Source organism: Homo sapiens, chromosome 8, assembly GCF_000001405.40.
Source record: "Homo sapiens chromosome 8, GRCh38.p14 Primary Assembly".
NCBI classification, from domain to species: domain Eukaryota; kingdom Metazoa; phylum Chordata; class Mammalia; order Primates; family Hominidae; genus Homo; species Homo sapiens.
Window position 1 is genome coordinate 125,022,410 of NC_000008.11, and position 22,883 is coordinate 125,045,292.

At 40.4% G+C, this 22,883-nt stretch overlaps 1 protein-coding gene and 1 long non-coding RNA gene across 6 annotated transcripts in view, besides 1 other annotated feature; one reads left to right on the top strand and one right to left on the bottom strand.

Annotated features, from left to right (window-relative positions):
• The window catches only part of WASHC5 (WASH complex subunit 5), a 67,533-nt gene continuing 46,500 nt past the window's right edge, over window positions 1,851–22,883 (bottom strand). For 3 of the 5 annotated variants that reach the window (NM_001330609.2, NM_014846.4, XM_047422502.1), the window contains 9 exons: window positions 22,127–22,289; window positions 21,583–21,685; window positions 21,416–21,495; window positions 17,386–17,489; window positions 16,421–16,550; window positions 14,828–14,924; window positions 9,832–9,985; window positions 6,211–6,298; window positions 1,851–2,264 (listed from right to left, as the gene is read on the bottom strand). In NM_001330609.2, coding sequence (NP_001317538.1) covers window positions 2,208–2,264; window positions 6,211–6,298; window positions 9,832–9,985; window positions 14,828–14,924; window positions 16,421–16,550; window positions 17,386–17,489; window positions 21,416–21,495; window positions 21,583–21,685; window positions 22,127–22,289 — 976 coding nt within the window. In that variant the 3' untranslated portion in view covers window positions 1,851–2,207. Of the gene's footprint in view, window positions 2,265–6,210; window positions 6,299–9,831; window positions 9,986–12,952; window positions 13,812–14,827; window positions 14,925–16,420; window positions 16,551–17,385; window positions 17,490–21,415; window positions 21,496–21,582; window positions 21,686–22,126; window positions 22,290–22,883 lie in introns of those variants that run through there. The other 2 variants (XM_011517409.2, XM_047422503.1) reach the window with 1 other exon arrangement.
• Window positions 9,185–10,384: an enhancer, noted in NCBI's record as "P300/CBP strongly-dependent group 1 enhancer chr8:126043836-126045035 (GRCh37/hg19 assembly coordinates)". NCBI's record gives its function as "activates an origin of replication core promoter dependent on BRD2, BRD4, P300/CBP, MED14 and CDK7 cofactors, with strong dependence on P300/CBP, by STARR-seq in HCT116 cells {active_cell/tissue: HCT116}" and the evidence as "EXISTENCE:reporter gene assay evidence [ECO:0000049][PMID:35650434]".
• Window positions 18,275–22,580, top strand: WASHC5-AS1 (WASHC5 antisense RNA 1). Its single transcript, NR_170219.1, has 2 exons — window positions 18,275–18,370; window positions 22,090–22,580. It is a non-coding gene; the product is annotated as a WASHC5 antisense RNA 1 (long non-coding RNA).

Sequence of the window (22,883 nt, forward strand, 5' to 3'; positions counted from 1 at the left end):
CTTAATGTCTTGACCTTGATTTCCTCATCTATCCAGTGAAGCAATTTGATAAGGTTATTTTCTTTAAAAAAAATTACTTATTTATTTATTTATTTTATTTTGGGGCTGTGACTCAGATTTGAACCGAAAGGTTCTTTGCTGAGTTCTCTGAAAATATCAGATTCTGACAGGAAAGGCAATCAAGGGCTTTATAAGTTCCACTGTATAGCAACATTTATAAGGCAGCCCAGGATGACATCAAGAAACAGTGAGTGAACAAGTAAGCACTTGTAATACCCGGCATAATACCTTAAAATCCGTTAGGATTTACTGAGTTTATCTATAGTAAATTTGAAGAGACTATGGATGTTCAAAGGGTATCATCATAAAAGTTCAGTAAATCTCCAAATACCATGAAAGTAAATTGTTACTTCTGAAAGAGCAGTAAAATATAACCTGGCAAATGAAGTTACTACTTGAGATTCTAACAGGGCTAAAATATAACTTACAAAGCTTTTACAATAAAAATTTCAATTTTTAAGTTTTTTCAGTTGAAAAAAATTCTTCACTGGCCAAATCACTAGCAAAATCAGTTTCAAACATCACTGCCTTGTTTTAGTAGAGCATATGGTGGACCCATTTGCTTGGTTTCGTAAGATTCCCATCTAACTGACCCTAAACTTCTATTTTCTGGTTAAAAACTCACTTTCCCAGATCTGGCCTTCTTAGCAGTTAGTTAGCTTTCTTTTTCGAGAACAAAGATCTCACTTCATGTGGTTATTGTTAACAAGATTACAAATGAAAAATAACACGCTATCGTTGAGATATAGATGTTCCCACACACCGTCTTTGCAGGGGGTGAGACTTCCAAGCTCCCTACGTACCAAGCAACAGTTCTCTTAAAATTCTGCCCTGGCCTCGGTGCCCTCATGGCCAGGATTCGAGGTTACCCTTGTTCGCCACTGAGACTCCTTTAAAGTCCTTTCTACTATGATAGTGAAATAATCAAAGCCTGTAAAGTCTTTTCTTCCCTTCAATATCAGAATTTGAGGCCTTCTGACAAAAGAAATAAAATGAGAAAACCGAAGGAACCTGAGAAATCCTTTAGTCCTAATTTTACAGATGATGCCAGTAGGCTGGCTTGGGACAAGGTGTAGCTTGTGGCAGAACCAGGACTCAAACTTACCCTCCTGATTGCAAATCAGTACATCTTCCCCCACCACTAGCAAAATGACTGTCAAACAGATTTTGGCTTCTGGGTTTGGTTTGGTTTGTTCCTTCCTCTCCAGAGAAGGACATAACCATAGAGATTTAGGGTGGAAACATCTTTCTTGCTCTCATCCAAGTTGTTGATACCCAAGTTGCCACAGTAGGATGGCAGTGATATGGTGTGGCTCTGTGTCCCCACCCATATTTCTTCATAGCAGTGTGAGAACAGACTAATAGTGGCAGCTTCCTTTTCAGGGTAATTTTCATGCAGAAATGATTTAGGATTTCGAGGGAGTTAAGCTTATGGGAAGGCTATTACCAAAAAGGACTCTGGATAATGATACGGTTGTGGGGACTTGGGGCAGGACTCAGGTTGCTGAGGAAGATACCGGAAGGAGCAGCTTTGTTAAGGAGTCCTACAGAAGGAATGCTGTGGACCCCCTAGGGCATGTGGGATTGGAAGAGGATGATGAGACACCAAGAAACTTCAATGGCACATGACACAGATTGTGTGGCCACTACATTTGCTACTAGTCTGGCTATCACCACGTGCCTGCCAGCTTGTTGGGGGTGAGCTATTATACCTAGCAGAGTCATCTCTTATTCCAAACAGGGTTTTTTACAGGGTGAATACACAGTTTTTGAATCATAAGCGAGACGACTTTGGGTACTAGTAATACTATTTTACTGAAAATCTGGAGTTGCACAAATAGTTCTTTAGAACATAAAACTAAATGGATTTATACATAACAGTTACATTCAGCATTTAAGAGAGGCAGTACAAAAATGTGTTCTGCTTTTATCTGATATAAATTGCATGTAATACCATGATTTAAACAATATCAGTTATATTAACTAATGCCATGAGATATATCTTACTCAGAACGTCTGATGTTTCCCATAATAGACAGAAAAAATGCAGTTGTATGAGCAACTGAGTTTCTTTTCATCTTCAAATTCATTTGTGATGGTGGGAAGATCTAAGGACAATCCTTCCATTGAAGAAGTAGGAAAAACAGTTACAGCACTGTTCTGAACTCATCAAAAATGAAATTAGGCACATGTGCTTCAGCAACCTGAAAAATTAAAGAATTAAATTATTCATGGTGTTATAGTTGAACAATTACAAAATTTTCATACGTAAAAGAAAAGATATCCTTGGAGCAAGGTGAATAATAGAAGAGGAGACTCCCATGGGCGGACGACTCCTTGAAACAGCCCCTTTCTGCTTGTGGTGCCCCCTAGACTAGCGTCTCATTTCTTGGCACTGCTAACATTTGAGGGGATGCAGTACAGCTCTCCCGCCTCCAAATCTGAGCTTCTTGGCTCTTAAAGGTACCTTGATCTGCGAGGAATGTTCTTGCCTCTGGGAAGTACTGACAAGTACTCAGGTCACCTAATACACTTCATTAACTGATGACCAACAAGGAAGAACAGGATGGCTGGCAAGTGATGGGGTTGGAGAGGTAGGGGAGGGCAGGAATGAGAATGAGATACCAAGGCCAGAAGGGGAAGAGCAGGAAGGCCTTCAGAGGCATGCATTCCTGAACTGTTCTTGGGCAAAGCCCTGAGAAGACTAAATTGGGCTCAGTTGGGTAGAATGTAGAGGTAGGTGATCTCCAAGTGCTGGAGATGAGTATTTTTTAGAAGCAGTGTTTAATTTTTTTTCTGATCATAAAGGTATAACCTGCTAATGAGAGGAAATTTAGCAAATGCAGAAGAGTATAAAAATTATTTTTACAGTGGGTGGAGGGCAAGGGGAGGGAGAGCATTAGTATAAATACCTAATACATGTGAGGCTTAAAACCTAGGCTGGGCGTGGTGGCTCACGCCTGTAATCCTGGCACTTTGGGAGGCTGAGGTGGGTGGATCATGAGGTCAGGAGTTCAAGACCAGCCTGACTAACATGGAGAAATCCCATCTCTACTGAAAATAAAAAAATCAGCAGGGCGTGGTGGTACGCATCTGTAATCACAGCTACTCAGGAGGCTGAGGCAGGAGAATCACTTGAACCAGGGAGGCGGAGGCTGTAGTGAGCCCAGATCTCACTACTGCACTCCAGCCTGGCGACAGATGGCACATGTATAATACCTATGTAACAAACCTGCACATTCTGCACGTGTAGCCCAGAGCTTAAAATTTAAAAAAATATTTTTTTAATCTTAATCCCTTAAAGAAAATAAAAACTGGCAACTTTTGTAATGAATTTTTCCAGTTTACTTACATATGCAGACAGACACACACACACACACACACACACAATCAAAATTAGGATCACATAATATTGTGTCCTTCTCTACCTCTGCTAAATCTTATATTATGAACATCCTTGGGCACATATCTTGGTAAACCTTTGCACATATATCCAGCAGGTAAAATTCCTAGCAGTGGAATTGCTGGGATCAGGGTAAGTATATTACAAATGTTTTTTTAAAATAGATAAAGCTAAATTGCCCTCCTCAAAGGCTGTCAATTTACATTCCAATTAATAGCACTTACAAGTCCCATTTCTCCAAATGCTTCCGAATAATGGGGGCCCAACATTTTACCTTTCACCAACCTGATAAGTGGAAACAGTAATTTTCGTATTTGGATTTTTGTCCCTTGAATCCGAAGGTTTGTCATTTCTATTTTCTTGAAAACTGCCTCTTAATTTCCTTTGCCCTTCCCCTGCTTTTTTTCTATTGGCTTGGACATCTTTTTCATACTGAACTTGAAGATTTGAAGAGCACACTATAAATCAAGAAACTAGTCCTTTGTTGGTATTTCCTCTTTTGTCTTTTGTTTTTTAACTGAGACACTGACACAGAATTAATTACATTCAGCATTTATAAAAAATCAAGTCTCTAAATCTTTTTCTTTATAGTTTCTTCTTTTGGTTTTATACTTAGGAATTTCTGAGAGCTGATACATATTTGCCTAAAATTTCGGCTAATTTATTTGTTTCATATTTCACACTAACCCTTTATCTGTAATTAATTTTGATAACATAGGAGATGTAAAGGGGACTAAGTTGCTATTTTTTTAACTGTGTGAACTTACATCTATTGACTAATATTCCCTTTCTCTCTTAATTTGAGATGCTACTTTTCCTTATGTACCATTGTATGCACAGGGTGTGTTTCTAGGCTACATATTCTTGCTCATTGTTCCTTCTATTTAGTTGCATACCAGTAGCACCCTATTTTGGTTTCTACAGTTTTACAGTGTTTTAATACTTGATATAATATTTTAATATCTTTTTTTTAAAAAAGGACTTGCCTAAGTCCTATGACATTTTAAAAAATATATTCTTTGAAGTTAAAAAAGTACCTGAAATCTTGATTGTAACTGCAGTAAACCTATAAACTAGATAGAACTATTATCTCTGTAATATTCGAGGACCCTCATTCAGAAACATGGACTTTCAAATTTTATATTTAAAATTTTTATAGTTTTTTAATAAAGTGTTCTTTCATATTTCTTATAGAGGTTATTCTTAGCTATATCATTGCCTTGTTATTTCTGTGAATAGGTCCTTTTTCACACTGTATTTTTTAATCGATTGATGTATTTCATACATTTATTCTGTAGCCAGCTTGTTTTCTGATCTCTGTATTATTTTGATAGTTTTTCACATGATTCTATTGGGTATTCAAGGAAGACAGTTATGCAGCAATCCCACTACTGGGTAACTACCCAGAGGAAAAGAAGTCATTATTCAAAAAAGATACCTGCACATGCATGTTTACAGCAGTACAATTTACAATTGCAAAATCGTGGAACCAACCTAAGTGTCCATCAATCAATGAGTGGATAAAGAAATTGTGATATATACATACGATGGAATGCTACGCAGCCATAAAAAAGAATGAATTAACAGCATTTGCAGTGACCCGGATGAGACTGGAGATTATTCTTACAAGTGAAGTAACTCAGGAATGGAAAACCAAACATCGTATATTCCTACTGATATGTGGGAGCTAAGCTATGAGGACGCAAAGGCATAAGAATTATACAATGGACTTTGGGGACTTGGAGGGAAGAATGGGAGGGGAGTGAGGATAAAATACTACAAATATGGTGCAGTGTATACTGCTCAGGTGATGGGTGCATCAAAATCTCACAAATCACCACTAAAGAACTTACTCATGTAACCAAATACCACCTGTATCCCAATAACTTATGGAAAAATAGAATAAAAAAGGAAGACAATTAATCTCAAATAATACAGAGTTTGTCTTCTTTCCAATATGCATTTTATTTTCATTTCATTTCTTATTGTCTTGCACCTGTATAACAAAAGTAGTTGCAAGAGTCTGTATAGTTGTCATGACACTGTGACAGTCCTGGCTTTAATGGGAATGCCACTAACATTTCACTATTATGTACTGACATTGCTAGTTAATTTTAAAAGTTCATCTTTGGCTCATGTTGTAAGAAAGTATCTTTGATTCCTAACCTACTAATTTCTAAAAATCAAATGATTTTCAGTATCTGCTGAAAGTTGTATTTTTCAGTATCAAGCTCTCCACTTTGAGCTAAAATTTAACAAAGTGGAATTACTAATGAGAAAGGGATAGGAAAGAATGTCTTGGCAGGTAAAAAGTAGTCTGCCATTTTTGGAAACAGTGCTCATATATACATTTAGTTGTGGCATGAACTTAACTGTGCTTGCTGTGGGAACCAGGTCAGTGGAGAGAGAAAGAACAAACCACCATGATTATTTCTTTCCTCTGGCCACTTAAGGAATCCCTCCTGGCTTGCCTATTTCACTTAACTCCTGAACCAGATGAGTTGCTGACAGGAGTACATGGTGGAGAGGAAGAAGAGGCGGGAGGGGCATTGTGTTAAACTCTGCAAGGCAATTCCCATGGTGGAAAAGGCAAGGACATTTCAGAGCTGGGGGTAGAGCAGTGGCGAGAGGCGCAGAGGCATCTACTGTGAACGACCTATTGGGCTTCACTCCTGATGAATCCAGGGCCACTATTATTAGCATCTTTTTACAACTATTAATATTGTTCTTTACTATCTATCACTTACCCTCCTGGGTAGCTTTGTGTACCGAACATAATCCTCCAGGAACAGAAGGGCACCCACAACATCTGCAGGAATTTCAGGTATCTTCTGGCTGTGATAGAGAACAGTTTAGATCAATTAACTGCTTTGCACATCATAAGCCCTTTTGGTCAGAATCCTGAAAGACTAAATTACCAACAGATTACCTAATGAAGTCAAAGATGAACAAAAACATTGAGCATGCTCTTAATTCCTGTCAAGTTGTTACCTTGCTCATGTATTTTCAGGAGCCCACCCCATAGGGTAAATGTGAGCTTCTCTATACGGTTTCCATGGGCGTTTACAACACGATCCCTGCTATCTATCCAGACTCATCTCCCTCTGTTTACATGATTCAATACCTAGCAGGTCCCATACTTTCCCATCCCTGCACACTTTTTTTTTTTTTTTTTTGCGACAGACTTTTCACTCTTGTAGCCAGGCTGGAGTGCAGTGGTATGATCTCGGCTCACTGCAACCTCCGCCTCCCGGGTTCAAGTGATTCTCCAGCCTCAGCCTCCCGACTGGCTGGGATTACAGATGCACGCCAGCATGCCTGGCTAATTTTTTGTATTTTTAGTAGAGACGGGGTTTCACCATGTTGGCCAGGCTGGTCTTGAACTCCTGACCTCAGGTGATCCACCCGCCCTGGCCTCCCAAAGTGTTGGGATTACAGGCGTGAGCCACCGCACCTGGCCTGCACACTGATTTGAAAGTAAACTTCTAGACATTGTTCGAGTCTCAGCTTGGGTACTTCTCCTGTGGAATCCTCCCTGATTCTCCTGGGCTGTCATAATAGTTAGCAGCATTCTCCAAGCCTCTTAATTTTTCAATGGTGTGCTGGGTTCCCATCAGGAGTATAAACTCCTCGAGGGCCTAGGTCATATGTTCATCTTTGTTTCTCCAGCATCTGGAAATGTGCTTGGCATGTACTGCATATTTGACGGTATCAAATAAATACAGCATCTAGCAATTTTTCATATGGGATTTTACTCATGTATTCATTCATTCAGCAACTACAGTGCCAAGCACTGTTCCAGAGCTGGGAATACAGCAAAGTACATGCCAGGCTCCTTATAGAGCTAACGTTCCTTCTTGTTTACATCAAAAGGAGTTTTTAGGTGTTAAAACGATTTCCAATTCCTGTACCAATTGGCATTTTCTGATTAACAAATAACTTTTAGTACTATTAATACATTACTGGTTAATTTCGCTGATGAACTTTGCTTTTTGAATGGGTTAAGAATGACTGTACCTGGAAAAATTCTCCCTGCTCTCAATCTTTCAATCTGTGACCAGGGCTATATTTGCTCTGCTTGGAGCAAGAGAAAGGAAGGAATTCCCATGCGTCACAGGTTCCTTAGATTCCTTTGCTCTGCTGAATCAGAAAGCCTGACTTACAGCTGGTCTCCTGTAGCCTGATCACCACCCTCAGGGTTGCCAATAACATGCTGGACTAGAGCCACACTTAAGCCTTTACTGCCATTAGTGAAAAAGAAAGAGAGGAAGAAGAACCTGTCCAAGTTGACAGCTAGGGAGCTACAATTGGGACAGCCAGTTGTGTGGAGGTTACTTGCTAATCACCTCCGCACCACCTGAACTGGAGTCCTTCCCCTCCTCTCTGGGAGCCTGGGCCAGAGGCGCTGGGTTTTTATGAGCCTACTGCTTTCCTTGCCAACTGACCTCACTTCGTGATTGTTACAATTTCATTTTTGAGACTTTGAGTTCTCCTCTATTTTTCAATTGTTAAAAAATCTTGTTTCTGAAGCAAGTCTTAACATCTATCCCAGGAAAACACCAGTGTTTGTTGTTCGATTCATTAACTAAGAGGAGGAGGAGCTGGCCTGACTGCAGCTCACGGGAAATAACGACATTGGGGTTTAGAAAGAATGCAAAATCAGTAGGAGCCACTGGTATGCACTGGATGTCAAGAAACCCATCACTGCAAAGCCGAGATCACGCCACTGCACTCCAACCTGGGCGACAGAGCGACTCTTTCTCATAAAAAAAAAAAAAAAAAAAAAAAAAAGGACTCATCACTGCAATTGTAGCTGCTGTACTGTCCACAGAGGGCCCAGAATGAAGACGTGTAATACTCCTCTGTGCCAAGGGGAGGGCTGTGCTTGGAATCTCAATACAAGTTTGGGAAGCCACATTTTAAGATGGTCAAAAACAGACTGGAACACCCAGAAAAAGTCACTCACTATGGTGAGCAGCCTCTAAACTGCAAGACATCGGGAACAGGTGGAAGGGGCTTATCTAAACATTGAGAAGACCTAAGACAACAGATGGCATACAAAATCGGAAGTGATGTTGCAAAGGAGGGAGACTGCATTATTCTGTATGATTTCAAAAGGTAGGAAAAAGCTCAGCGAGTGAAACATCCAGAGACACAGGTTCTAATAATCACAATCAGGAACTTTCTAATGAGAACAAGACTTAGCCAGTGGACTGTGCTGCCTGGAGAGGTAGCACAAGCCCCCTCGGTGAGAGTGTTCCAGCAGTGGCTGCATGACTACCTGTCAAGGATGTCCTAGAGCTCATTCATGCACTTAGTGGGAGGTCAATTAAATGACCTCGAAAATCATTTCCAGTTTTAGGACTTAGTAGTATTTTGTGTGGACTTAGAAGATCACTTTGGTTCGTTTTATTTTTTTTGAGATGGAGTCTCGCTCTGTCACCCAGGCTGGAGTGCAGTGGCATGATCTCAGCTCACTGCACCTCTGAGGCCTCCTGGGTTCAAGCAATCCTCCTGCCTCAGCCTCCTGAGTAGCTGGGATTACAGGTGGCCACCACTACATGTGGTTAATTTTTGTGTTTTTTTAGTAGAGATGGGGTTTCACCATGTTGGCCAGGCTGGTCCTGAACTCCTGACCTCAAGTAATCTACCCAAAGTGTTGGGATTACAGGCTTGAGCCACTGTGCCCAGCCGCTTTGATTCGTTTTTTACATTATAGTGGCAAAAATGACCAAGCAAACATGACAGCAAAGGTTATGTAGCCAGGCTGACCCTTTAGGATAGCAGAGAAGGAGGCACAGGACCCAGCATCTCATGGAAATAACTTTTTTTTCTTTATCCCAGAAAAGCCACATTTAGGGGCAGGGGAAAAGAACTGGCAGGAATTAAAGTTTTATAAGCATTGTATCAAATAGCAACTCTTGTGAAATTTGCTTCTCTACATGCAGACACTGCCCAGGCTTTGACACACTGATATGTTCTCTGACTCCCACTGAAGTGAGTGGAATCATCTCTTGGCAGTGGCCCAGCAGGAGTGCAGGGGCTCGCTGAGATTGAAGAGCTGCATCCAAGAGTGCAGAGGAACAGGGCTGCACTTTCTTCCCCATGGTAGTTACTATTCATGGTCCTGAGTCACTCCTGGAAAATCAATGTGAGTAGACCGGATGGAGTTCCCCTGGCAGGGTGACTAAGGATGGACACACCTGTAATTGCTCTAAACAAGGAGGTATGCCCTGACTTGCTTTACAGAGAAGGGTGAGCAACCATTTCCCATCTCTATTAGGGCGATAAGAGGAATTTGGTAATGTGAGGTTTAAGTTAGGTTTTGTGACAAGAAGTCCCACGTAGTCCTGGTTGGTCTTCTGTACCTTGTACACTGCTCCACCGTGGAGCAGATAAACTGGCCAATCAGCGCCAGGAACTGCTCGGTGTACCGGGAATGGAACTGCTTCAGCAGAGTGAGCAGTCCCAGGACAAGTGGTGGCCAATCAACCGGGTCGGTCGGTTTTCGGCAGACCATTCCTGCAAGGGAACAAGTTGCAACACCATATGAAGTACTTGCCTTCAGCAACATTCATTAAATACCAACGCTGTGAAGGTCAAAATGTTTGGGGCCCATATTCTCGCTGGCAGATGATATTTTGGAGGGAATGACAATTCTGGGCCATATTTTGAATTAGCCACAGGATTGGTAGGGCATTCCAGGGGTCTGAAGGATTCAAAACCAATAAAACGGTTACTAAATTTTGTAATTATCATTACTGGTTCTTTTGAATTACTCAATTAACATATATTATTGTAGCAATTTTTAAAGATACAGATAAATGTAAATGAGAAAAAAAATCACTACAACTGACTTCTGTTAACGGCAGCATGACATACTAGATACCCTGAACTACTATCTTAAGTGAAAAGCTGGATAAAATACTTTTAGGGTATCTTTAAACAAATGTTGAGTAATATATATACATAAAGAATCTGCAGAAATCAAGAGAGTGGAAGAAGGATATTTATGAAGTGAATGAGTATCAAAGCTGGCCTTTACACTAACGATTTTTTAAAAATTGGAGATGGGGTCTTGCTATGTTGCCCAGGCTGGAGTGCAGTGGCTATTCGCAGGTGCAATCACAGCACATTATAGCCTTGAATTCCAGGGCTCAAGCTGGGACTATAGGTGTGTACCACTGCACCTGGCTCTACACTAAAGATTTCTGCCAAAATGTGGAGACCCTGACCTCTGCCTGGGTGGCTGCATGGGAAACCAGAGACAGAGATTAGGGTCTTCCAGAAGAAACACAATGTTGAAAAAGAACAGTGTTGGGAAGGTTTAGGTTGCCTGATTTCAAGCTCTCTATACAGTTTCAATAATTAAGACACTATGGCATAAGAACAGACAAATAGATCAATGGAACAGAATAGAGTCTAGAGATAGTCCCACCCTTCTATGAGTAATTGAATAGTCACAAATATACCAAATAATAAAAAAAGATAAATCTTTTAACAAATGGTACTGAAACTGGATAGTCTTATGGGGGAACGACAAACCTTGACCCCTATCTCATACTGTACACAAAAAACAATTAGAGATGAACCACTGGCCTCAATGTAAAAGCAAAGACTACAGAACTGTAAGAAAAAATATCGAAGATATCTTTGTGACCTTGAAGAAGGCAGAGATTTCTTTTTTTTTTTTTTGAGACGGAGCTCACTATGTCACCTAGGCTGGAGGGCAGTGGCACAATCTCGGCTCACTGCAACCTCTGCCTCCCAGGTTCTAGCGATTCTCCTGCCTCAGCCTCCCAAGTAGCTGGGATTACAGGCGTGTGCCACCACGTCTGGCTAATTTTTGTGTTTTTAGTAGAGACGGGTTTCACTATGTTGACCAGGCTGGTCTCAAACTCCTGACCTCAGGTGATCCTCTCGTCTCAGCCTCCCAAAATGCTGGGATTACAGGCATGGGCCACTGTGCCTGGCCTGGCAGAGATTTCTTAGACAAGACAAAAAAGAATAATTATAAAGGAAAAAAATGGATAAACTGGACACCATCAACAGTAAAAACTTCTGCTCATTAAAGTTACCAGTAAAAAAATACATAGATAAGTCACAATATTCTCAAAACATATCTAATAAGGAACTTGTATCCATAATATATACATAACTACTACAACTCTGTAATAAAAAAAAAATTTAAAAACGAGCATAAGACTAGAACAGGCACTTCGCAGAGAAGGATATAAGGAATGGCCAATAAGCACATGAAAAAGTGCTCAAAATCATTAATCATCAGGGAGGCAAATTAAAGCTGCAACAAGATACCATAGATACCCATCAGGATGGCTAAAATGGGCTGGGTTCAGTGGCTTATGCCTGTAATCTTGGCACTTTGGGAGGCCAAGGTGGGTGGAACACTTGAGGTCAGGAGTTCGAGACCAGCCTGGCCAACATGGTGAAACCTGTCTCTACTAACAATACAAAAATTACCCGAGCATGGTGATGCATGCTTGTAGCCTGTAATTCCAGCTACTCAGGTGGCCGAGGCAGAACTGCTTGAACCCAGGAGGTGGAGGTTGCAGTGGGCCGAGATTACGCTACTGCACTTCAGCCTGGGTGACAGAGTGAGACTCTGTTTCAGAAAAAAAAAAAGAATGGCTAAAATGAAAATGACTGACGCCACCAAATAATGGCGAGGATGTGGACTACACATATACTCACTCTTGGTGAGAGTGTAACTGGCACAACCACTTTGGACAAAGGGTTGGCAGTTTCTTATCAAGTTAACTGGTTAGACAGACCCTCAGGTCCCATATTTGACTTCTTGTGAAGACCGGAAAATCTTCCCCAAACCAGAGAAGCCTAAACAAGTGATCCTGAATAACCTAACCTAGGCCTTGGCAATTCAGAACATGGAGGAAGAATCCTAACAGGACTCAGTATGGAGAAATAATCCTTTCCAGGTGGAAAGCAAGAGTGATGTTAACAACAAACACTTCTACAACTAGCACTACACCACGAAGCTTCTTTCTTCAAACACAGACCAAGCCAGGTATGCATTTCATAGGCCAATGCTGAGAACGGTGTTTACAAGGTTAAATAAATGTTTTTCGGATATACAGTTTCAAGGCTCTCTTTACAGTTTCAATAATCAAGACATTATTGGCATAAGAAAAGACAAACACATCAATGGAACAGAATAGTCTAGAGATAGTCTCACCCTTATATGAGCAACTGAATACCCACAAAGATACCAAACAATTGTTCCTTCCTCAGTCCTACTGTAATTTAGTTCCTGCATTAACACATCAGTCTTATTGATGAGAAGAATTATAGTCAGTTATAAACACCACATTTCTAGGATACATAAAGATTTTGTTGTGTTATGTTTTAAGATCTGGGAATTCCAGGGAGAGTGATACTTTCCATAAGCAGCTTTACAATCAAGGTGCCAGGCCCTAATCATATACACAATGAAAAAAAAATTAGAATGAGAAGTCAACAAAAAGTTATTCTTTAATGAAAAGAAGGTTCTTTCTGCACTGACAGTTCATTATCAAGAATCATATATTCCTATTGAATAATAACATAGAACAGAGAGAGAACATGAATCTCTGAATCTTCAGATGAACCTTTACATTACACTTGGGATGGCCCTTTAAATTGATTTTGACCAATATATAGAAAGGGACTCAGCACCTGTTGGGCACTCAGTTTGCGGTGACTTGGCCAAAGTCACATAGGTGATAAGTGGTGAAGCCAGATTCCAAACACACATTGGTTCCCTCCCTCCTACAGCAAGTATTGTTTGAGGAGATCATGCTCTGCCTTCTGTGACAATCACAGGCATTGTCATGGAAGCAGTGTCTAGAATCAATGATTACTTTTGAATGAGAGAATAAAAACATTAAAGAGATTCCACATTTTCACCCTAAAAAAGCTTATGAAATAGGAAAGTACTGTAAGGAAGAAATATATTTAGGAATCTCTAGTTAAGAAACAATGATTACATTTGTAGAAATGCTCTTATAATGCTTTTAAAGTAAACTAAAGTCTATAGTGGATTTTTAAAAATGTCATTTAGCTGGATACAAAGTTTGAAGGCAGAGGAAACACTTTGTTATCTATTATGTAACTACAAAAATATTCTGACGAATGACAAAAATAAATTAGGGTTATATTCCTGGAGAGAACAGACATATTGAAAGGCTTTGGTGTCTCTTGTTTGTACAGAATATTCTGACATACAATCATACATAAAGTATTAAATGTTCATGTATAAATATTAGTCTTATCTCCTTAACTATATTGTTACTTTTCCCATCATGGTTCCAGATACACAGCTGGCACATGCATCCTGTTGAAAGAACAGAACATCAACCAAAAAAAGTTTCTTTCACACCACAATTAGCTGCCTAAACATTAAAGAAGAGAATCAAAACAAAGGTCCCTCACATTCTACAAGCTGGACAATGAACCCTTACTGAGGTAGACCATACTTTGTTGATTTTAAATCCACTGTCTAGGGCTGGGCACAATGGCTCACGCCTGTAATCTCAGCCCTTTAGTTGCCGAGGCAGGTGGATCGCTTGAGCCTAGGAGTTTGAAACCAGTCTCGGCAACATGGCAAAACCCTGTTGCTACAAAAAATACAAAAAAATTAGCTGGGCATGGCGGTGTGCACCTATAGTCCCAGCTACTCAGGAGGCTGAGGTGGAAGGATTCTTGAGCACGAGAGGTCAAGGCCATAGTGAGCTGAGATTGTGCCACTGTACTCCCATCTGAGTGACTGAGTGAGACCTTGTCTCAAAAAATAAATAAAATAAAATAAATAAATAAGTGTACTTAAAAAAAAAATAAATCCGGCCAGGTGTGGTGGCTCATACCTGTAATCCCAGCACTTAGGGAGGCCAAGGTGGGCGGATCACCTGAGGTCAGGAGTTCGAGACCAGCCTGGTTAACATGGTGAAAACTCTGTCTCTACTAAAAATACAAAAATATTAGATGGGCGTGGTAGTACGTGCCTGTAATCCCAGCTACCTGGGAGGCTGAGGCAGGAGAATCGCTTGAACCTGCGAGGCAGAGACTGCAGTGAGCTGAGACCACGCCATCGCGCTCCAGCCTGGGCAATAAGAACAAAACTCCATCTCAAAAATAAATAAATAAATAAATAAAAATAAGAATAAACCCACTGTCTACAGTTCATAAAAAGGCATTGTATTTCAAAGGCATAAAGACTCGAATTTCATAAACATAAATTTAACTAAGAAAAGATCTCATATCCGACATAGGCATTCTATACAAAAAGCTATTTAGTTAAATGTTAATCTGTTGGTATTGTTACTCATTGCAAATAATAAATGTTATACGTACCCAGATTTTTGTTGTATTGAAGTTTTGGCAACTGAGCGATCAAAAATAGAAAGTTTACAATTGGAAAATAGGGTAAGCGCTTTGTTGTTATGTATATCTGGAAAGAGAAAGGTAAGAAAAATAGATGGTTAAATCACATTGCACAATACCACAGAACAGGTTTCCAAATGAAAATCTTCCATTTTACTTCAATTTGCTCTTTGGCTTTCCTGAAATGTGGATGGTTCCATTAATTTGCTGCCTTCAGAGTTTTATTTAACACACCTGGCCCTGGCCACATAAATACCTGTATCATAATTTGCCCTTCTGGGAAGAAAACAATTTTGCTTAGAAAGACTTTTCCCCTGAATCCTGTTAATGTCATTAATAAAGGGAGGGAGGAATGAGTGATGAGCAAGAATGGGAGGGGAAGGCAAAATGAAGAGCAGTTGAGGAAGAGCTGGAGGTGAATATAGGGGGAGTGTGGGAGAGAGAAGAGAGAGAGAGGGAAAGAGGGAAGAAGGAGAGGAGGAGGGAGAGTGAAGGGAAAAGATCCATGTAGCAGCGAGTGGTGGTATCTAAGTAGAAAGAGAGCAAAGTTCTTCTTGTCATTTGCTGTCCCCTAGGCAATGTCACAGAGCAGTCTCCCAGATGTCACGGCAGAAACTACAGTCAGGGCGTACATGGCCAGGTCCAGACTGCCAGCTGGCCGATTCCATAGGAGACAGGGTAGCACACGGGTCAGAAGCAGGGGCTCTGGTCAGACTGCCTGGCTCCTCCACTTGCTAGCTGGCCTCTCTGAGCCTCGGGTTCCTCAACTCATAATGGCGTATTTCATAGGGCTTGTTGTGAGATGAAGTGAGATAATCCACAATCAGGGTTAAGACAGTGCACTTGTTATGCAGTAAATATTCAAGACATTAGCTACTATTCAGGTTTATAATCTTTTATCCAAAACACAAGGGATAATACAGCTTTCAGAATTTCAAATTTTACAGATTTAGAAAGATAATATAGGGGCTGGCGTAATGCACTATAATCAAAGTTACTATAATCAAAGTCTGCATCAAAATATATGAATGTTTACAGTAAGGAGGATAAATAACTAGTATAAACAGCCTTATGTCAGCTCAGGACAGATTTTGCCATGCAAAGAGATCTGGCACCGAGTTATGAAAAAACTTTCAGTTCTTAGAGGTTTTCTGAGCTCACAACTGCAGGGAAGAGTTTGTAGCTTCTATGATGAGTGGGATTACTGTCAGCCACAAGGGGAAGCACCTTTGGCAAGACAGATCAATGCTACCATTTTGGGTTTGTTGGGCCTTGATGACTGAACGGCAAACCCCAGTGAAACCCAAAACTAATCTCTTACACGGAGGCAGCACCTTCCCCTTTGTCATGAGCTTTCACCAGCGCTATAGCACTTGATTCTCACAGACCTGAGCCAGGCGGGGAAAGTGTGATGATTGCTTAGAAAGGGCAGGGAACTGAATGGAATGAAGGCTCTGGGGTCTGAACCCAGGTTCCTCTGGTATTTCTGCACAGTAATCTGTTACCTGGGCCAAATACCATTCTGTACCCCCATCCCCGCCATTATATATTTTAATTACTCACCTTATTCAGTGGGTTGTGAATGCCAGCTGCCTCCAGATAGGCTGTGATTTCATATAAAAGTGTGTTATCTTCTTTGGGGTAAGGAAGTGAAGGGTCCTGATAGTGGGCTTCAATGTCTGCTAGGAGAGCCCTAAAGGAAGAAAAACCCTGGAGATAAACATTAGTGAGTAAATGAATTTATACAAGAGTTAATATAGGGCAGTGATGTAATCTTTTCAAGCCTCAGTTTCCTCATCTGTAAAATGAGAGCTTGATCTCGCTAATTCTCAACCATGCCTGTGATTGGTTTTAAGTGGAAAATTTGACCTAGAATTACTTCATCTTTTGGAATCAACCTCAATCAAATGCATTCACCATTCAAATTTTCATGTATTGACTGAACTGTTCTTAATACCTGCTTTGTCAAAAGCACTGACTTGGTGAGTGAGAAGCACAGATTATTTATCTGTAAGTAGGCAGCCTCAAATGACAGCAGGTTGCTGGTGAGGCGGAGGATATGAGTTCCCTCTAGGACAGGCCTCCATAACCACTCTTGGTAATCAACACACTTCCAACTGCCCTCTGGATGATGAGTGATCAGCCCTGTAAAAAGCCAGTTGCGGATTTTGGTAATAATTGCTTTCTAAAATCTGTGCAAGTATCTAGCAGTGTCTGGTGTGTCTCTCACTCGCTCTCTCTAATGAATTCATTTGTTCAGCAGACATGTATTGAATCATGTGATCAGTACCTGTCTGCTGAATACACGAATCCATTAGAGAGAGTGAGTGAGAGACAGAGATAAACGGAGGGACAATACTGAGGAAAGAGGCTCCGAAGACAGATTTGATTATCCGTGGCAAGGAAGCCTGTAAATTCAGACCTTCCACCCAAAAATAACTTAAAAGAGTAAGAACTGAAGAAACTGGGGTGCGTAGATAATAAACAATCCAAGCCCACGGATGGCTGTTTCAAACCCTGGCACTTACTTATTGAGATTCTCCAGAGCAGCTGCCAGATGTTTAGAATCAAACCGACAAGAATAATTTAATTCATTGGCAATCTGTTGTCTCAGAATCTGCATCTGCCCAACCTGTGCACAAGCAAGAGAAAGAACAGGTAGTGCATTCAAGCATTTCAGAGTGACAGTGAGGAGGTAAACACAAAGATGACAATTCTTCACTGGGCCTTCACATCACTCTACAGGAAAAAAAATAAGGATTTCCTGAACTGATCTCTTGGCTAAGACCAGCACTGGATCTAATGAAGCACCAGAGGCCCTTCAAGGAATGTCTGGATGGATTCCCATACCCCAACCTAAAAATACCCCAAAGTCTATGATTCACAAAGTGATCTATTAATGTTCAGTTGTTCATGTATCAAAGATGTCTTTTTTGAAGCTATATTTTTAACCTTTTGGAATAAGTGCTCCAAATTTAGTAGCTGCTGTGAGAAGTCTTACTTACTTCCTTTTATTTATCCTAAATGGAACTTTCTCAAGCTCTAGGAATGCCATTTCACACTAGTATTCTCAAATTGGGTGAATATTAAGTCTGTCCATGCCACTCAGGATTATAGGTTCTATAATTATCTGGATTACAAAATAATCTACATAAAATCTTTCACGAAAATTTTAACAATGATAGCCCCTTAATCCAGGGTTCTTAATTTTTTTTGTGTGTCTGATATGGTTTGGCTGTGCCCCCACCCAAATTTCATCTTGAATTGTAGTTCCCATAATCCCCATGTGTCATGGGAGGGACCCAGTGGGAGGTAATTGAATTATGGGGGTGGTTACCTCCATACTGTTCTCGTAATAGTGGATGAGTTCTCACGAGATCTGATGGTTTTATAAGAGGCTTTTCTCCTTTTGATTATATTTCTCTTTCCTGTTGCCATGTGAAGAAGGACATGTTTGCTTCCACTTCCACCATGGTTGTAAGTTTCCTGAGGCCTCCACAGCCATGCTGAACTGTGAGTCAATCGAACCTCTTTCCTTTATAAATTACCCAGTCTTGAGTATGTCTTTATTATGTGAGAATTGACTAATATAGCCTTGGACCCCTTTGGGAATCTGGTGAAGCCTATGGACACCATTTCAGAATAACGTTTTTGAATGTACAAAATAAAACATAGAGGGTAACAGTGGAAGCCAGTTGTAATGAAATATAATTAACCATTCAAAGAACAAATCTGTGATATAGAGTTATGCTAGGATGGTGTATTAACTACAGTACTTTAAAAGTAGCTATGAGCATAAATGATACTTGGAGATTATCTGCAATGGTTGGATGATAGGAAGCGATCTTTGGGTCAGGCTTGAGAGTTCAGTTTGCCCTCATAATGTTGTCTGCATCATAAGGTCAACAGCACACTCTAACTTTTTCTGCCTATAAATGTCTTCTTTTCTACTCGGACAAAGTATTCCTAAAAGACTGGCAAAGGGGAGTGAGGGAGGTGGGGAGAGGAGGGAAGACAGTATTATAATGCAAGCAGCAATAAGGTGGAAATAAATGCATTTCCTCTGAGTTGCTGGGGGCAGAGAAGAGTTAAGGAAAAGACAGGGGCTCACGCCTGCAATCCCAGCACTTTGGGAGGCCGAGGCAGGCTGATCGCTTGAGGCTAGGAGTTCGAGACCAAGCCTGGCCAAAATGGTAAAACTCTGTTTCTACTAAAAATAAAAAAATTAGCTGGGTATGGTGGTGGACACCTGTAATCCCAGATACTTGGAAGGCTGAGGTATGAGAAACACTTGAACCCAGGAGGTAGAGGTTGCAGTGAGCCAAGATTGTGCCACTGCACTCCAGCCCAGGCGACAGAGTGAGACTGTCTCAAAAAAAAAAGAAAAGGAGGGTGGCCTTCTCTAAGAATGAGCAAAAGTTACTTAGCTAAATGGAGCTTGTAATGGTCAAAAGTATTAAATGACCTCAGATGTATTATTTTTGACCACTATTCATACAAGACTATTACTCTATTTATGTGAAAAACGTCAATCCAAAAATGCTATTTATAAATAGGAAGTGTTTGAATTTATAGAGTAGCATTATTTAAAAATTAGAATGCAGCAAATCCAAGAAAATAGTAGGTTCTTTCAGGCCACATAAAAATGTCCCTGAAACCCTGTATCTGGCCCATATAATTCTTTGCTTAATTTTCTATGTGTAGTATACTCTGTGTCAAGGATCCTCTTGAAAATATCAATCTAGAACTGGAAATAGAAATAAAGTCAGTTTAATATAACTTGCTCTCGTTTACTGCACAATGAATCTTTGTTAGTGACATTTTCTATTTTTGGTACTCACGCACTTCAAGCTTTAATAAGCTGCTGAAGAGGCTAAGGAGCCTGGGATGGATGAGAAACTTATTCTACCTACTCATTTGCCTCTTTGGAGATATCTGGCTTATCACTCTTTCTCCAAGATTTTTCTAGAGTTGCACTATTGAGTACAGCAGCTCCTAGCGATGTGTGGCTATTTATATTTAAATTAATATGAAATAAAATTAAAAATTGCATTTCACTGTCCCACAACCCACATTTCATGAGCTCAATAGCTACACAGGGCTAGGAGCTGCTGTCATCATCGAATAGCACAGAACATTTCCATTGTTGTTCCAGATTATTAACACTGGCTCCGTGACTGTACGCACCCTAATTCAAGACAAAAAGACAAATTTGTCCTTTGGGGCTTTATTTAAAGATCACTGACTCGGTCACAGTCACGTGGCTGTTACTGAATTACTGGCAACTATAACCAATAGTTGGAATAGCTACTGGACTGAGAACCCTCCAGTAAGCAAGGGGAAAACCTTCCAGTTTCTTGGAAGAATCCCTGTAATCCCCCTAACGCCTCCTACAGAGTTGGGACTCACACCTGTCCAAACTCGGGTGATTCTTTATTCCTCCTAAAGGGTTTTCCAGCAATTAGAAACTTGGCCTGGGAAGCGCTTAATATCTGACAATCATGAGGCTAGGGGAAGGCAGACCCACATCACGAGAGGATATCTAGCAGAGCCATGGGCTCCTTGCCTTACCTGTTCTGTTTAATGATCCAAACAACAACAACAACAACAACCACTCACCAAAATTATGGGAAATATATTGTGAATTTGGCTAAGATACCAATGAGTGCTGTCTCAATGAGAAACTTATATAATTGGGAATCAGAGAATGGAACTTTTCAAAATTCCCTTAGCATTCTAGAATTCTAGACTTTTCTACAGTATGTGATATTTTTGACCACAAACCAGTTTTCTACCAGGAAGTCTACTCTTCCCTGCTAGATTGTGAGTTAGCTAAGGAGACCGGTCATGTTTCATTTAACTCTGTCTTTCACAGCAACTGACAATGCCCTGGGTATAATGGGTGTGCAAGAATGGGCTGTGATGATCTCAGATTATCAGATGATGAAAGAAGACTCGCAGAAGATGCAGGGGTCCCTGGGAGCTCCTACTGCCGAGTAAAGGCAGGAAACTAGGCAGCTGGATTCTAAAATAAGTTAGACTTCCATCCAGCAAATTAATCTCTTCGTCTTTCTTATTCATTTCCAAAGTAAGACTGCTTTCTGCAGAGTATAAGGATAATTTATGCCCCAAAGAACCTGGCTTCCTAACATCTATGCAGACACAAGAGGGCAGAGAGACAATGTTCTGTTCTAACAGCAGCTTGGAGCAGATGAGGTGTGTATAAATGAACTTTGTTATGTAAAAAGGGAGTATTACTGTGCAAGGAAAAGTTCAATTTTCATATATAAAAGCACCTCTAGCCAAAAGGCATTTTACAAAGAGCCAGTTTTCTTGAACAAAAGGAAAACGCTAGGCTCCTAAAAAGCCTAATCAAGAACAGATCCAGAAACGGAGATAAACAAAATGAATTTTAAAATGATAAACTGAAGTATTAAAATATTTTTGATTTAATGACAAAAGAAAGAAGAGTAGCTTTTTTTGGGCAACAAAGTTACAAGAAAATAAAAAATTTAAAAATGTAAGTATTGACTGTACACCCTCTCTTCTACAACATACCTTCATTATAGCCTCGAGATACGCAGTCCAAATCTTCTGTGTTTTGGCAATGGCGGAAAAATAAATTTTATTTGAATTTGCTGAAAAGTTAAAACATAATTTTCTCTTTAGTACATTCGTAAAGGCTACAGTGTCATCCCCGCCTCAGGTAGTTTCAGGACACTCACCGACAATACTTTTTAGGGGACTGACAGCATTCATGAGGGTTTTTAAAGTGTCCTGAACAGTTCTGTCTCTCAGGATAATTTTCTGAAACATACTGAGGAAATTCTAAAAACAAGAAGGCACGGTCAAAGAACCAAACATAATGAATTAAACAAGCAAATTCTCCAGTTACCTAAAATGCTATGCAGAACAGAGGCTGGGCCTAAGTCACACAAAACCTCTAAACAGGATGACAGCAAAAAGAAGCAACTTCAGGTTCCTGTTAGAAACATCCCTTGCTAGGAAAAGTCACTGGCTTCAAGGATTAAAAAGTCTTATCTTCCCAAGTTGAAACTTACAAAAACAGTCTAATCCTAAAAGTACTATGCTGGCCAAACAAATTCTAGTTTATTCCCAGCTCTGATCTACCCAGTAGGTATCATATGCCTAAAGTCAGTGTAAGAAATCATGGAAGAAAGGTTAAGTGAGTTCAAACTGCCCACTAAAATATGTTCTTGCCTCTCCCCCAGGGTGGCAGAAAACAGGCATGAAAGTCAAAAGGCTCACCTGTAACTCTTTTACAATCATAAAGCACAGAAGCCTGTCTAAGCCATTTAGACCAAAGGTTCCCAAGGTGGTCTGGATTTCTGAGAAGAGGCGGCTGCTGGTCACTTCCTGATGAGTTTTCATATCATACCAAGTGTTCAGCTGGTCTATGTGACATGTCATTCTAAAATGAAAACAATGCAAAAACCCCAGAATGGCTCAGAATTCATCCTTAAAGAGATGTTAGGACTCAACAGGACATGCGGCACCAAATATGAAGAACAGGAGTTACATGATCTGTGTTTTCTAACCTCTGTATTCAGGCACCCAATGCGTCTTCCCAGTGACACCCAATGGAACAGGAAGGTAAAATTCAGTCTGACCCCCTTTTCCTGCCCTATGCCATATCATTGGTTTCAGTCATTTATTTCCATTGAGTTAGGGTGTTGACTTGGAATCATGCTGAGAAGACAAGGTTAGGTTCAGCTGTCAGGCTGGAAGACTTTAGAGCCCATTTGTCTCTCTATGCAGCCTTCCTTTAAATTTCCAGTTTGGAGACAAAACAAGGCCTTGTGTCATTTCCATTTGATAAAAAAGGAACCTAGAATCTCCATATGCTACCTAACATTTGAGACTATGACGACAAAGCAATTTGCTTTTTCCTCCCAGTTCCTTAAACTTGTAGATGCCATCTTCTGGTCCTCTCCAAATGATTCTTTTTAGACTCAGAAGTGTGATGATGACAGTGACAACAACCAACCATATTTACTGGGCACTT